Here is a 17588-nt window from a genome sequence, read left to right on the forward strand (position 1 = left end):
CATATACCAGATAAACTAATATTAACTCGCTGTAACTCATGATTAAATATCAGGTTAACATCTACTGAGTTCATCTTACCACGTATCATCCCACTAACTCCAGAGGGTGAGAATTTATTCCCTGCTTAATGCAAAGTTTCCCCATGACCAGAGATTCTGGTTCTCTGAGGGTGATTGGGGCTACTGAAAACCATAAGAACAAGCTTGTGACTGGTGGTATTTTACCCTGCTATTCTCTTCTCTCATCCAGAAGTGTCTTTAGAGCACAGGGAGGGGAGGTGGGAACATACAGCTGGGTTCTGAACTCACTCCTACCAGCATCCATCAGGGAGCTCAGGCTGACCTTTGCAATGTCTTTAAGACACAGGGATTAAGGCATAGGTGACCCATGAAGCTTAGGTAACTAGTCAAGGAAAGGGGAGAGGATGAAAGAAGCATAGGAAGGAATATTTTTGGGGTGGTGAGTTTGTAGTGTCCTTCGAGTTAAATTGCACATTCCACAGAAGCAGATACCTAGTCACTTAATGATCAAATCATTTAGGATGCATCCTCCTGAGAAGATTAGAAATGGGAAAGGTCTGTCATAGCTACTAGTTCTGGTATCTGAGTTGCTCTCTCTCCGCACTTCTCAAATTTGGCTACACATTGGAATCACCTACGGAGCTTTACAAAGTGCTGATGTCTGGATCTTGGACCCAGAAATTTTGACGTAATTAGTGTAGGGAAGTGTTTATTAAAGTAAAATCCCCAGATCAGCAGCCTCACCTGGGAACTTGTTAGTCTTTAAAATCCTCAGAGCTCACCACAGACCTGCTGAACCAGATACTCTGCAGGTGGAGCCTATCAGCCAGTTCTAACAAGCTGTCTGAGGGCCTCAGATGAGTGCTAAAGTGGGCAAACCACTGATCTAGGTTGGGGCCTGGGCTATCTCCCCAGCTCCCCAGATGATTCTAGTGTGCATCCAAGTTTGAGAACCACAGCTCTACATCCTTTTTTTTTTTTTTTTTTTGAGGATTCTTAGGTCTTTCAAATATTCACCTTCACTTTCATCATAAGCTTTCAATGGCCTTTCCTTATGTGCTTATGGGGTCTGTGGAAACAGTTTTCTATTATTTCCAGGTGAGGTGGCAAAATCTGTCATTGCACTGAGGGATGTTAAATTCTCTGAACCACTGACAAATGGGCCACAGAAAACTGCCCTCCAGCTGCAACTGCACACCAGCAAGTCAAATGGCTCAGTCAGGGCCAAAAGAAGGATAAATAAGCAGAGTCAACAGAAGCACTGTCAAGCCCTAAACAGGAGGATAGATCACAAGGCAGTCAGCTTGGCAGATTAGCAGTGGCAATGAAATACAAGGGCTGCAGATTTAAATCTAACCTCTTTGTTTTCATGCTAGAGAGCCCACAGTAGGTCCATGACCTATTTAGTTTAGATCTAACACAGCTTAGATTCTAGCACTTTGGAAGGCTGAGGCAGGAGGATCACTTGAGTCCAGGAGTTCAAGAATAGCCTGGACAACATAGTGGGACCCCATATCTACAAAAAATTAAATTATCTGGGCCTGGTGGTGCATGCCTGTGATTCTGGCAACTCGGGAGGCTGGGGCAAGAGGAGCTCTTGAGCCTGGGAAGTTGAGGCTATACTGAGCCATGATCGTAAGAATGCACTCCAGCCTGGGTGACAAAGCAAGATCCTGCCTTAACATATAAAAAGAGTGGGGAAACAATCACAATACTCTCATTTCCAGTAGGAGAAACTACAAATTTGATTGAAAAGAATCTAACCCAGGTATTTCAAATCTTGGCTGAATTCTTGTGCTGGTTTTGCTGTTAAGTCTATAGATCTAATACACAGCATGAAGACTATAGTTAATAATATTATATTGTATACTGAAAATTTATTCAGAGAACAGATTTTAGGTGTTCTTACTACACAAAAAAGTAACTATGGAAGGTGATGGATATGTTGATTTGCTTCGCTGTAGATCATTTTGCTTTGTATATGTTTATCAAAACATCATGTTGTTCACCTAAAATATATACATTCCTATGGAAAGAAAAAAACAGAGCAAAGGAAGGAAGGAAGGAAAGAATGAAGGAAGGAAGCGAGGGAGGGAGGGAAAGAGGGAGGGACGAAGGGAGGAAGGAGGGAAGGAGGGAGGGGAGGGAAGGAGGGAGAGAGGGAGGAAGGAGGGAAGGAGGGAGGGGAGGGAAGGAGGGAGAGAGGGAGGAAGGAGGGAAGGAATAAAGTAAAAGAAAAAGAAAAGAAAAATGAAAAAAGAAAAGGGAAAGAAAGAAAGAAAAGAGAGAGAAAAGAAAAGAAGGAAATACCAATGTGAATAATTCTTTTTCCCTTTCTGGGTCTCAATTTTGTCATCTATAAAATGATCACTCTGGTCCATTTTCCATTTGGCAGAGCTCAAACAGGCTGGAAGCCGACTATGAGGATGAAGACAGCGCCTAAACTTTCTAACACTCTTTATGGGGCCTATTTCCTAGAGTTCATGCAACTCATCTTGAGTCACAATTTATATATGTTTAGGTGATCAAACTACCTTTTATTTATATTTCCAGTTTATGAAGCATGGTTGATATGGTATTTCACTAACCCTCACAAGAACCCTAAGGTAGGTAGGTAATAATGTCCCCATTTTACAATGAGGGCACCGAGGCTAGATATGGCCCACAAACCTTCTGTAAGCAAATAAATGCAAATGCAGGGTTAGTGCTGGAACTCACATCTTCTGACTCCTTCTGTGCAGCTGAACTGTGAACTCCAGCTTGTAAAATACAATTCCTTGCTCTGTAGCCAAAACAAAACTGCATTTGGAAATCAGAATCAGAAGGTTGGTGATAGGCCGTCAAGTGTTTCACAAGTGATTAAAGGAGAATCTGGGTTCCCCATCTCTTGGGGCCTCCTATTCCTCTCTCAGATCCCTCAACACTTAGTATAAATTATCTGGCATTAGGATAGAGATCTTTTTCATTAGTGTGTCTTTGAAAAACATTAATGTACAGGAAAGAAAAATTCCTCTTCATAGGGACAAACATAATCTTATCAGAAATGAGCAGGACAATAACAGGAAGGAGAGGATTCTGGAATGTCAAAGAGAGGAGGGGCAACAGGGAAAGAAGGCAGGCTGCAGGAAAGGCCCGGAGAGGCTTTCATCAGGGGCCGGCAGCCAGGATATTATTGTGAGCTGGAAACATGGGCAGAGCCAGGCAAGGAGGAGGGCATATTGCAAAATGGCTGCCTTGCTGCCCTTGTTGACGTGCGCCCAAAGACTGCACATGGACAAAGACATATTTATGCAAAGTCCATTTTCCTTCCAATGACTTCCAGGGGAAGCTCACAGCCGCTAAGGTGATGAAGCCTGAAGCTAGAGAGAAAGGACCTTCAAAGACGTTGAGTCCCTCTCCATGGGATGGGATTCCATCTCCCATCCTGGACTTGAGACCCTGACAGCAGCATCGATTCCTTCTGTCACTAATCCAGAGACAGCGCATCCCACCGCTGCCTAGACTGCCCGGAAACTCTATCCCCTCCCTCTTGCAGCCTTCACACACCCCCGGAAGGGTCCCAACCAGACTACACCTACACCTTCCCAGACCAGCACCAGCTGTTAACAAAGTGAAATGTCCCTTTTCTTTGACTGTTAGATTTCAAATGCTGCATGGTCCAAAACTGCTTTTTCATGTCTCACCTACACTCATCACACTGTTTCAGCCTATTTACTTTATTTTGTCCATAGGGTACATAGAAAGCAGCTGGCCATCTTCCTGGGCATAATAACACTTTAGACACTTGACAGAAACAATGGAGCCACAGAAAAGACCACCCAGACATAGATATCTGTCTCCGAGGAAAAGTTGGGGGCACAGCAAATATTCTCAGGACTTGGCAACATCCGCTTCTCTCATTATGCCCTATACAAAATTACAAAAATACTCAGTTCAGACATTTGATTTTGGTCTTGAATATTCTATTTAACACAGTGTACTTGTCTTTACATATAGACATGCACATCTGTTCCTAGAATTCTTGCAGAATAACTTGCTTTCCTTGCCACTTTACTTTGGCTTTAATTGTTGTCATGAATACAGCCTTCCGTACATCTTCCCATAATGTTCTTCTTAGTTTTTTAAACTCTTTAATCATTTTCTCCCCTTAGAATTTCTGAAGTTAAATGATAAAATGGATTGGGATGTCAGTCCAAAATCTCCAATGCTCCGAAAATCTCAGACACATGTTGCCTCGGAGATGGGTCTTTGGGGGCAATTAAAAGATAATGTCAATAGGGCTGGACAATGACAAGCTAATGGTCTCCTGCTGCCAAAGAAGGGGCCTTGGAGAAACTGAGATGTTATTTTCAAAGCCAGAGCCCATTATGCTGTCACAGCACCATCCTCCGATGACCTGGCTCCTATTATGCCCAGTGATTAGAACAATAAATAAAAGAGAGGCAGTAAGGAATAAGTGCAAATTTCTGCAGCTAACCAGCAAACCAATCGAGTTAAGAGTGAGGCTCCCCAGACACATTTAGCCATCAGCATGTATGTCTGAACCACTGGCTCCAGAAATGTTACCTTTTCATCTCCATGCATGGCATTTCTTGCAACTGACATTTTAGTTTTTTCTATTAACTCCTACAACTGGATTTTATTCTTGCCAGCCAACTCCTACCTAACCTTCAACACCCAACTCAGAATGCTTTTAGGAGTCTTCTCAAACCCTGTAGCCCACAGGTACCCTCCTCTAAATCCATGTATTTTCAACCTGTTGTGGTCTTTGTTGTCATCATTAACATCCTTTATAACCCCCTTTGCATAGTGGTCCCTTTCTTTACTACTGCTTAAGTTCTCAGGAACTGGTGTTGACCCAAATGGAGTGTAAATTACCAGTCAACAGAGATTATATCGCACACATATTTGTATACCCTTAAATCCCAATATATGCCCTCAACAAACACCTCTTAAGTGGTTGGACTTTTGTGAATGTTTCTGTTTAGATTAGTCATGGTTGAAAAGGTAGAGTATGTGTCAGGCCATGATGTTTATCTCCTCCAGCAGGTGAGTAGGAAGAAATTGATGTTGCCCAGAACGTAATCATCAGAATATAAACTGAGATGGAGTGAAATCACCCTTTATGGTCTGCTGGCTCACTTCTCCTTCTTGTTTGTTGCTTGTCATAGATCCTACCCCTTTCTGAAATGGCATGACTCTATAGGAGGTCCCAGGCCTGGTATCCTGGTTATTGGCTGACTGACCAATTGCTTTCTAACTTAGTTTCAGATTTGTTTTTCTGTGAATTCAAGAAAAAGGAGTGGTATTTGCTGGCAATTTTGCTGTGCAAGTACCTTGCATTTTAACCTTCTGGGACCGTTGTCCCTTTATTTTTATATTGACTTTGTTTAGTTGGTTAATTAATTTGTGAGTTAATAGCTTTGTCAGAGTACAAAAAGATAAGCATATATGGAAAGCTGAGATGCAGTTTGTTAGTGTATGTTCATTTTAATCTCTAAACTTTAAACCAATTCTGTTTTTCTTCTAACATTTCAAATTACTTTAAAAGTGTTAAATTATTTATCGTCAAGGAAGACGCCATCACAAGAACAGTGTTTTCTCCTCCGTCAGTGGATTAGGAATCAGAAGATCTGAGATGTATTTCTCTTTTACCACTGACTTATTCTATTGCGTATTTTTGGAATGTATTTGCTCATTTCTTACTTTACAAATTCTAGAGGGAACACACAATCTATTCCATGTGCTCTCTTTTGAGCACTAGATAAGGAAAGGTTTTTTTTTTTTTTTGGCAGATGATTGATTAGTTTACAAGTATCCTTCTTCAACAGTAGATATACCATGGCAGGGAAGTAGAACCACTGTCCAAGGTTACCTAGAAGCCAGTGACCAAACTAGACTTCGGGCTTTCATCTTGTGAGTCACAGTGTTACAATCACTAATCCCCATTATCAATGAGGCATGAAGTTGTGTATGTAGAACACTGTAACAGTCACCAGGGCAGCACACTCAGTTCAACATTACTTACCTTGGGTTCTATGCCAACGTCCTCAAGCATTTTAAGAAAATGGCTTAGAGCTTAAGTCGTACAATGTAAAAAGCTGATAAAAGATTGTCCCTATGTCAGTTTCAACTTTGCCCTCAAATGCCAACAGCAAGGACACCTTCATGAGCAACTGGCCCTAGGACTTAGAGAGGCTACTAAGTGGCTGTAGGAACCATGACACTCTGACATTCCTGGCCCAAGTAGAAATATGAAAACCTAAGCATGGTGGGTTGAAACTTCATGAATGTCTCTCGACCCTGAAATGGGTTGCAGGTGTTTGTCTCAAAGACGAGAACAGATAATGAATAAAACATGCCTGGAGCTTTGTGTTCAGAAAATGTGACAAGCTTGAATCTGATGACTTCAGGAATGAGATGAAATATGAGTTTGAGCTCATCTGCAAAGCTCTTAACGAATCCAAGATGTCGTTGCTGGTATTGCTGCTCATGGACTACAGTTTGCCCCAGGTTTATGGGAGGATAGGGGTGGAAACGAAGGGGGTGAAAAGATCTGGAAAAGAAAAGAATGAGGAGGGAAAAAGAACATGAAAGCAAGTTTTGACTGCAGATCTTTAAGGGAGAGCTCTCCCTGGAAATCTCACTGAAGACTAAATTTGACCTTTATTTTGAGCCCATAGAAGAGAGATGAAGATAAAAATACTCTGCAGATCAATGTATTGTATAAATATACTCAGCTTTATGGACTCTGAGGTTATTGCATTTCTATATCATCACTGATTCCACTTTTGCTTTAGGTAGTAAAATAGAGACTATTCTTATCATATTTTCATCTAAAATTGCACATTTAAGGTCAAGTTATCTCTTACCACATGAAAAGCTATACTTACACATATGGAAAGTAAGATAACTTTTTGTGACTATTCTTTTTTCCATGGGACATTATCTTATTTCACACATGTGTTACTGCAAATCTTTTGAAGAGAGAGATGGATTGACACTAAGATTTTAAATTCTGTCTTGGATTGTCACACTTAGTAAATTTCTGTGGAAATTCCAATTGTTGGTTTAGGAAAATTCCAGCAGGTGGAGCTGTAACAGCGCTCAATTTCAACAGAGTTCTCTGTTATTGGCAAGATGGTCTGGAGCCAATATGGACTCCAAGCTTCTGTTTGTGAACTCTGTACTCTCAGTGAAGGGCTCTCTCTATCTGAACTCTTGCTATATTCAAGAAAAGCTGGTAATTTTGGACCCTAACTCAATCCTTGATATTTTGGGGTCTCCGGAGAATCACATAGTTGAGGTACTAGTTAGCACTCTCACTGGAAAAAGCAATTTGATAACGGCCCCCTAGTGGTCTAAACTGGTACATGTGGCTTTGTAAATGCCAACCCACCCATTCATTAGACCTCTGAGGGCACAGAGATGTTTTCAATCATTGGCTCTGTCGTTTTGACTTTTCTCGCCAAAAGCTTAAGGGAAGAAAAAGTGTGTGATACATAAATACAAAACATGCAACAGTCAGTGGGACAACTCCAAGTGCCACTATTTATTAATTTTATAATATTAGGAAGTTCGCTTTTCCCTGAGCCTCAGTTTTTTAAATTTCCCAAACCAAAATGAAAACAACATCTACTGCAAAGGATTGTTGTAATGGGGAGCAAACGACATGATACACATGAGAGAATATGTGATACACTTGAGAATGTTTGATAGAACATATTGTGCATACCAGGTTGTTTTTTATTATTAATAGTAGTACTGTTGATTTTATCAGGATGAAGAATGATCTCAGGGCTTCTATGTAGAGCTCATCTCAATGGATCAAACTATAAGGAGACAGACCTCCCCTCTGTGCTCAAATTATAAAGTCCATTCCATTCTGTACATATGGGTCTATCAGCCTGCAAGTTCATTACAGATTTTTCTCATCAGTCTTGCCAAACTCCTTAAGGTCAGGGACCATAAGATTTTTGTTTCTTTTACCAAAGCATTTGGCATGATGTTTGGTTCATTGTGGTTATCCCACAATGTCTGTGGACTAAGTATCACTGAGTAAAGTACAACATTACATTTGTAAAGGGAACTCTCTCATTCCACTTATTTATTCCTACCTAGGAGTAAACAAACCAGAGAAGAGAGTAATATGCAGGCACTTTGGGGGAAGTTGGCATCGCAGTAATTCTGGTATACTGTTCTAACTCAGTACAAACCAATTAAGACACTTAATGAGAACAAAATATGCTCAAGGTAGTAGTATATGCTGTGGGAGATTAAAATTATTGCATAAAATTATTGCATAATTAAGACGGATTGCATAACAGCTCTCCGTCTCCATCAAGAATTTTAAGGACTGAAATTAGAAATGTTTCAGAGAGAGAATTAAGAATATAAAATGTGTGACAAAGCTAACCATCAACCAAAATTCAAGCTTCCACCTCCGTAATTAAGGATTGCCCTTGGAAGGAGCCCTTTAGCCAGGGGCTCCATTTCCCATCACCCTTGCAAGTGAGGCCATGTGACTAGTTCTGTTCCAATGCAAAATGAGAAAAATGTTTGTCATTTTGAGGCTAAGATAGGATGGCTTCTCTGGTCTTTTGGATGCATACAGAAGACTCCAAGGCCTTGGGACTATTTATAGAGAGCATGACGGAAGAAGCCTGGGTTCCTGAACCATCACGTGGAGGAAAAACACCTAATGGCTGGAAATCTGCAATGGACTATGTCACGAACAAGAAATAAGTTTCTGTTGGGTTAAGTCACTCAAATTTTGGAATTTGTTAGAGTAGCTAGCATCATCCTCACGTAAGATGGAAGAAGGCACCACATGATTTTCAAATGAAATGAGAAAACATAAAATACATTTAACTCAGAAGATGGAAAAATCACTGCATGGCAAAGTAGCCAAAAGCTTTCTTCAAGAGATGAAGCTGCAGCCGGGTGCGGTGGCTTACCCCTGTAATTCCAGCACTTTGGGAGGCTGAGGCACGTGGATCACCTGAGGTCAAGAGTTCAAGACCAGCCTGGCCAACATGGTGAAACCCTGTCTCTACTAAAAATACACAAAAATTAGCCAGGCCTGGTGGTAGGCACCTGTAATCCCAGCTACTCAGGAGGCTGAGGCAGGAGAATCACTTGAACCTGGGAGGCAGAGATTGCAGTGAGCCGAGATCGCGCCACTGCACTCCAGCCTGGGTGACAGGAGCAAAACTCCATAAAAAAAAGAAATGAAGCTGCAGCTGATTCTTATGGATTTATGGATCAGGGGACATACCTCTTATGGAAGGAACTACATGAGCAATGATACCAGTGTAGGGAGATTGAAAACATATTGAGGAGACAGTGAGTGGAGAAGTTGTACTGGAAAACAAAGGCCATCTTAGCTCCAACAACTGTCACTAAGCACATTATTACCCATTTAAGTCTTTACCTTGACTGTTGTCTTTAAGTTATTATGGACCATAAGATCCAATTCAGTCAGGTCTCTTATTACCAACAATCAGATATTTAATTCTCCCTGCAAAGCCAGCTTTGGATCCAAGAGGGGCAGATTTTGCCAGCTGCATAGAAATACGAAGCACTTGTTTCAATTGTATTTTTCATTTGTAATTTCTGCTATTATAGATGCTACAATCAGACATAAGTATGAAGACTCAGAATTACTTAGTGATGCCAGAATGTAGCAGGCACATTCTGTTTTTTAGCTTCTCTTACAGTTGGCATCAAGAGTTGGTGGATTTTTATAGCTATTTGTGTAGATGTCTTACCACTCATCTGTAAGGACAGAAATGATTTATTACTTGTCTTTGTATTCCCCTTTAACTAAAACCAAAATCTGCCTTGAATAGAGACATAGACTTATAGGTTAGAACAGCATAGGATGACAGAACTCATATAATTCAGCATCCTGATTTTGTACTAGGATCATTAATGTTCCTTGTTGAGAACCAAATATTCTTAAGTGATACATCCAATTAAAGATAGCAGTAAATCCATGAACAAAATCCTACAAAGTGTTAAATTAGTTAGCTTTTTTTTACTGTAAAAGACAAAGTAGCTTAAGAAAAGAAAAAAAAGGCAATGAATAATGAGGATACTAAAATTTCTCCTAAAACCCAGGGAGATAAGTAAGGCTAGGCTTCAAGAACAAGTGAATTTAAGTAAATTATCTGAGTTTTTCTCTTTATCCACTGTCTTTACTATCTGCTTATCTACTTTACTCTCTGTTTTACACAGAATAGTCTTCTCCAGTTCCTTGTACACGTGATGAGAAATGGCTCTTGCCAAGAGATCTCAGTTTATATCTCAAAGAGAATAGATTATTCTGAGTTGGAATATCTTAGTCTCTATTCCAAACACAAGGGTAAGAATGTAATTGAGGCAATGAAATTTTACCAGACATGTGACTGATAGGCTCATTGTCTGGAGTGAACCTGGGAAATGCATGGAAGCGAGGGATAGACAATTCCAAGAAATTGTGAAGCCTGTTAGACAAACATGTGCTAAGGGACTTACGCAAGGAAACACACAACTCGTTAATGCAGAAAAGAGCAGAATACCAAGAGGTCAAGTAGCTACGTAACAAGTAGTTAATGGAAGAGAAAGGACTAGAGCCAATTTCTTAATCCAGTACTGGTAACTTTTTATTAAATGTTTCCTTCTCATCATTTCAGTCCTCAAGGGAGAGTGTTAGCCCTTGAAACCATTCTAGACAGGAATCTGCCTCAAATGTCCAACTCTTGCCATATATTTTCCCCTGAGATTCTAAATACCAAACTCCAGGGTCATTTTAGTCAGTGATCTGTTCCTAGGCACTGTTCTGTTCCTTTCTGTTTCATGTAGACGCTGTGCATGCTGCTTAACACAGATGGTCTTCTGTCAAAATGATTGCTTGCTAGAGTTGTCAAAACAGATGCCAAATTGTAAAATTTGGTATGGATGATGCTTTGGAAGGAGAAAGACATATTCATCACTGGGTTGAATTCACACCTCCTGAATTTGCTTTAAGAAAATGAATTCCCAGTGTTGGTCATAGTTTATCATCTTCTGAAGTTCAGATTTGCCAGGTCAGTTGAAAAGTAGATGAAACAGCAAAGACTTAATTAGCAAAGCTGACATTTCTGGCTCAGCTTCAATCATGGTGAGTGACACCTTAAAGGTTCTGAACCAAAAGCTTAGATTGTTACTTTATACTTTATCTTCTCAAGAGAATTGATTAATTGAATGCAGTCTATTGAGTTCCATCTAACTGATGTATCTAAATGACAATGAACTCACCCCTGAAGAACTAAAGGCCAGGATTTTTCATGGTGTTGCTGTTGTCAGTTTTGTCCCAGAAGACAGCTGCTCCCTGAAGCTGCTCTTCTACAACCCCCAAAAGGGAGATTCACTATTAACTAGTAGCATAAAAACATGTCTGCCTCTCCAAAATCCAATTGCCTCACATGGCTGGAATTTGATCTGTTGCCGGTAGGTTTACTTTGATGTCAAAAGTAACATCTCTGCTGACTAGATTTCTTGATTAAATATAGTCTGTTAATATTAAATGGAATGAATCAGAGACAATATCTTATGCCTATCTAATTTAGAGGCTATGAACACTCTATTAATTAGCCAGCTTCTCTTTGGGATGGATATTTTGGTTCATGAGTTTTTAAAAAATATTAATTGCTAGTCACCAAGTCTTTTTGAATCTATAACTTGGCTAATGCAGTTACATATAAGAAGACAGACTGAGAATTAATGTTATCAATATTTTGCAGTTTGAAGATTGATATATTCTCTTTTAAATGGACTCTTTTTAAAGAAAAATATCCTTTCATGTTTATAAAATATGTTCATTTTTGAAAAATACAGAAAACTATGAAAATTAAGTCACCTATAATCTTCAAGCCAAGGAATAACTACTAATATTTTGAGTATTATTATTTCAATCATGTGTGTGTGTGTGTGTGTTTGCATGTGTAGACATTTTCTTTCTTCTCTTTTTCTTGCACATATGAAAAAGGATTTTGAATAAGATAGCTAGAGGTGGTGAATACTGGCAAAAAACAAATGCTTGTTTGTCTGGAGATAATTTATTCTTAAAAAAGGCTATGAAACCTAAAACTATCACAAGCAATGCAATGCCACCCCTTTAAAATGAGCCAGGTATAATATCCAGAAATACATGAGCCAGATATTCCTCCAGGGTGAAGCAGGACCATCAGTGAGAGAGGAAAGAGATTCAAAGACCAAGGGATTCTCAAATGTGAAGGAAAATCTCATTGCCCTCTGCAGTGAACACAGTATAATTTGAAAGATGAACTTCATAGGAAAGAAACAAATGGTTTGAATCTTGTTGTGAGCCCTAGGAGCATGTGGCTTGCCTAAAAGTAAGTAAGTTAGTTTGTTCATTTTTTTCTGACAACCAGTATAGGCCCAAAATTGGACTTTCAGCTGTTATTAACATAGAAATGTGTCATACACTTTCTAAAATTAGAATTATATTCCAAAAGCATTTCTACTTTTACAAAACTTAAAATTGTATAGTATTGTTACATTATTAAATATTTTTGAAATATAATTCTTTTTGAGGATTCCATAATATTCCAACAAGTGATGCACCATTGTTTATTTAACTGATTCTTTTATGTTGGTTTCTATGTCAACATTTGCTTTTAATTATAAATAAATTTGCAAAAGATGCCAATCTTTGAGTGTAGTCTTGACTGTCTTTTTTACAACAACTTCTTATAGGAGGAATTTGGAGGTCAAAGGTTAAGGCCATGTTTTTAAATTTTTAATAAATATTATTAAATTCCTTTCCAGAACAGTATAAACATTCCCATTTTCTTCACTCTTACATATTTGTTAGTCTGAAAAGTGACTAAGTTAGATAACTGAAAAGGTATCTGCATGGCCACTGGGTTAGATTTTTAAAATTAGAAACATACCAAAATTAACAATGTACCTTAGCTCTAATAATTTTCTTTTTTTTTTTTTCTGAGATAGAGTCTCACTCTGCCACCCAGGCTGGAGTACAGTGGCACAGTCTCAGCTCACTGCAACCTCCACCTCCTGGGTTCAAGTGATTTTCCTGCCTCAGCCTCCTAAGTAGCTGGGATTACAGGCGTGTGCCACCACGTCTGGCAAATTTTTGTATTTTTAGTAGAGATGAGGTTTCACCATTTTGGGCAGTCTGATCTCAAACTCCTGATCTCAGGTGATCCGCCCACCTCGGCCTCCCAAAGTGCTGGGATTACAGGCGTGAGCCACCATGCCTGGCCTGCTCTAATAATTTTAGAAGTGCAGCAGCCTGTTGAAAGTTCATATGATTATCTGAAGGAGAAGGAAGCAGAAGCAGAGATAATGATACACATTACCCCAGCAATTGTGATTTCTACTCACAGTCAGGAATTCCCTATCTATGAATATATTTATGCAAACACAGGGTCATGTGGTGTCATCAAAGCTCTCACTTCTGGGGTCCACACGGGGTCCTCCAGCGGATTCCGTCAGCGTTTGCTTGTAGTCTTCATGCATGATGACCTCAGAGTCCAGTGCTTTATGTTTGCACTGCATCTCTACCCAGGCAAGCTCATTACCATTCAAAATCCCTTTGTGTTACTTCGGGAAAAACAGATTAGAATTCAAAAGTCTCTGGTTGTTCATTGACTGTTAACATACATAACCATATAGATATAATAATACTTCAGAGAGTGCTGAAAGTATAATTTGGAATAAGTAAATAAAACAAACAAAAAGACTTTAGACTTGAGCGAAATGCTTGCTTGCATGTAGAAAGGGTTATTTATTAAACTGGCTCCCCAAACAGAGCAAAGGAAATCCTACTGCTTGGGACAATTGAAACTAGATTGAAAGAACAATTCCCTATTGTCAGAGGCTGAGACTTGGGTGACAAATACTGTATTTCTTTCTCCCTCTTCACAAAAGGAAGTACTCAAAAGAAACTAAGAAGTCTGCTTCTCATTTTGAACCCCAAAGTTGCCTTAAAGTGTACACAGCCTGCTGTTGTAAGATTACACATACACACACACACACACACACACACACACACGTCAGTCACACAGTCAGGACAAAGTGACAAATAGCTTCACACACTAACAGATCCAGTACTTGCACTAGCTCCTTAAAAGATCCTCTCTTTTAGGCCAGGCATGGTGGCTCATGCCTGTAATCCCAGCACTTTGGGAGTCTGAGGTGGGCGGACTGCCTGAGCTTGGGAGTTCAAAACCAGCCTGGGCAACATGGCAAAACCTTGCTTCTACTAAAAATACACAAAATTAGCTGGGTGTGGTGGCGGGCACCTGTAATCCCAGCTACTCAGGAGGCTAAGGCAGGAGAATCGCTTGAACCCGGGAGGCAGAGGTTGCAGTGAGCAGAGATCATGTCACTGCCCTCCAGCCTGTCAACAGAGCAAGACTCTGTCTAAAAAAAAAAAGTTCCTCTCTTTTAGAAGCAGTTGTATGTGTGCACATACTGAAGTGTGTGTGCGTGTGTGTGGCGTTCCTAGGAATAATCATATTACTAGTAGATAGAAGGGTAAAGGATTTCAGGGAGGAAATAAAGGGAAGGAAAACCCTCTTCCCTTCATCCTGATTTGTTATGGCCTAGCTTCCATTTGTGCTGATAGCTTTCTGCGTATTTATTTTCCTTTGAGTGACATTGTCTAAAGTTGCAAATAACTAATCTGATCATTTCATAACTCAGGACTGGGCAATGAAGGCTTTTCTACCATGAATGTTAATCATTCAGATGTTCAATATCAATATAAAATATTTGTGAATGCTTTTTTTCCTTTAATGATGCATTTGTCAAAATAAATTTGAGTTTCCCTTGCTGGCCTTACATATTCAAGAGGGAGAAAACTTCAAAATTCCACTACCGGAAAGTGTTTGCAAGTGGCTTATCCATGCTGGGAAGAAATAGAATCAGTACAGCCTTTCTGTCTTCTGAGCAGGCTAGTTTCCTGTGAGGTTTCAACTTCCTTCACTTCCAGCTGCCTCTGCTCTCTTCTCTACCTCTCTTCCTCTTTCTCCTCTCCTCTTACTCTAGGCTTTCCTCCTCCTTTTCTTTGTAGCTTCTCTAGCTTTCTCCTTTCTTCTCCTTTTTCTTCATAACTCTCTTTTTTTGTGCTCTATAGACAACTCCACGGTCGAGAATCCCTAGTTCAAGTTCCAAGTCTGAGACGGATCTTAGAGAGCATTGTTCCATCACCCACTTCCTAGTTCTTCAGACTCACCTGATTTCCCTCCACACATTTTGTCTATGCCTGTTCTTCTTCCCAACTGTTTTTCTTCCATGCCCAGATTCATAAAAGTTATGTAAAATATTCTAGATCTTTCCTAAATGTCATTAGGTCAAATAAATGGAACAACAACAACCACGAAAAGGCTCAGGGAAATAAAACAGAAATGTTAAATACTTTTGATTTTTTTCTCTTGCAGAAAGTCAACTGTTTTTTGAGGGAGCAAAATATTAAAAAGAAAGAAAGAAAAGGACCAACATATGACATTTCTGGTGCTTTCTTTTATCATGCTGAAGAGAAATTATCTGCAATTCCTTCTCAGTGGTTATGATGTCTTTTAAAAAAGTTACTAAGGAAAGGTGTTGAAAATCTGGTCAAGGATATGGCAGGAGTAGTACTAAATTATGGGCAATTGGATATGGATTCTTAGTTATAATGCTTGGAACCTCAACAGATTAGTAAAATTTAACATTGCAAGGTCCTTTGACTCTTCTATTTTCCTAGGTTTAGCTTTAGGAGGTTATTAAAGTATGTCCATTTCTTTAATGTAAAGTTTTGTTAAAAGCACAGACTTCTGAGCACCACCAAACCTAGCGTGTGTGCACCATGACACACGCGGATGTGACACTGCACCAGCCCACTCCTACCATGTCTCCTCTTGCTCTTCTTATGAACTGAATTTGTGCCATCAATTTAGGCTTAAAAAAGATAAATGCAAAACAGAAAAAAAAAAAAAGAAAAAGAAAGTGCTGTATTCAGGCACTCTTCCTCCCTATTGGTTTTACGAGTCAGTATCAAGCATCTTCTTTCTTATCCTTGCCAAACAGAAGAAAATGGATCTGTGCCTTGGTAGAAACCTTTTGGAGGGCGAGCAGCCGCTGCTTTGATACCAGCTTGCAGCTCTGCTGGCACCTAGCCTGTCGACTTTGAATGCGACCATAGTTTATATTTTTATCTGCATTTCCCTGATGTGATGAATGTCTCCCATGTACTCCTGCAGGGTCCCTCTTTACTTGCTCCGCCCTTTGTGTGCTCTGGGAGGCTAATCCAGATGTGCCGCATCAGGAGGCCTCAAGCTTCTGGTGGAGCTCGGCTTGTGGGACAGTCAGCCTCTGGGAGACGGAGCAAGTGGAGGAAGAGAGAAGTTGAGACAATTATTTCCCTAATTCCCTTTCTGGCAGGTCCTACTGGGTTAGTGTGATCTTCTGCGGAAGGCTGCAGCTGCTGTCAGGAGGCCCTCTGTCTACACTCCTCTCTGGAGAAGTGTAAGTGTTTTGTCAGGTAAATACTTCGTCACTCTCCAGCGTAGCAGTGAGAATCATCCCTCCTATCTCTAGCATCAGAGTCCCTCCTATTGTTTCTAACCACCCACCCCCCGTATCCTTGTAAATAATCTCTTTATTAAATTGTCTGCAAATTACTTCATTTTAATGTGCTGTCCATTTCCTTTTGGGACCCTGGCTGATATTGATACTGATGTTGGGTAATTACTGATTATTGATACTGATAGTTGACACTGATACCGATAATAATTATTATTAATAGCTAATATCCATAATTTGATACTGATTATCAGAAAAGGATACTGACACTCTAGGATATTAGCAGGATCAGTAAATACTGACACTGATACTGATATTAATACTGGCTGCTACTGCTAGGTAATTACTAGGTCTGTCTATCAATCTATCCATCTATCTAGGATGTTCTCACTCTTGTAAATATCTCTATAAAGCCTTGTCAAACAGAAAAAGGAGACAATGTGAAAGGGTCTTGTGTACATTTAGTCTCTATTCATCTATTACAAGTTTCCTTTCTAAACCAAATAGTTCTATATTGTTTTGGAGACTATCTAACCCTCATTAATTAGCTGTTTTATTTCTATTTCTTTATTGCTCATATATAACAATAGGAAAACTTGGTTAGTCAGTTAATTAACAAATATTTAGTAATGTATATTATTATATGACTTGAGACATGATAAACATGTTCTAAAAGTGTGGAACACAACATTTGATAAGAAAGGCAGAATCTCCATCTTCAAAGAGATTGCATTATAGTGGAAAGAGCCAGACAATATATAAATATATAAACCAAGAAATAAGATCATTAAGGTACTGATAAGTGTTATGAAGAAGATGAAACGGGGTGATTTTGACAGACATTGACTGTAACAGGACCAGTTGTTTTAGAGAGCATCAGAGCAGCTCTTCATGAGGAGGAGCATCAGAGAAGCTCTTCATGAGGAGGAGCCTCATGAAGGTGAAACCTAAATGATGAGAAGCCAGCTATGTAAGAGGAGCATTTGACACAG

General features: G+C 39.6%; 1 long non-coding RNA gene across 1 annotated transcript in view; it reads left to right on the plus strand.

Annotated features, from left to right (window-relative positions):
* The window catches only part of LINC02725 (long intergenic non-protein coding RNA 2725), an 87798-nt gene that overhangs the window by 54958 nt on the left and 15252 nt on the right, over nucleotides 1–17588 (plus strand). The window contains exon 3 of the long non-coding RNA NR_183639.1: nucleotides 16456–16539. This is a non-coding gene — a long non-coding RNA (long intergenic non-protein coding RNA 2725). The remainder of the gene's footprint in view (nucleotides 1–16455; nucleotides 16540–17588) is intronic.

The sequence above is a fragment of the Homo sapiens genome, chromosome 11 (genome assembly GCF_000001405.40).
Source record: "Homo sapiens chromosome 11, GRCh38.p14 Primary Assembly".
In the NCBI taxonomy this organism is placed as follows: Eukaryota; Metazoa; Chordata; class Mammalia; order Primates; family Hominidae; genus Homo; species Homo sapiens.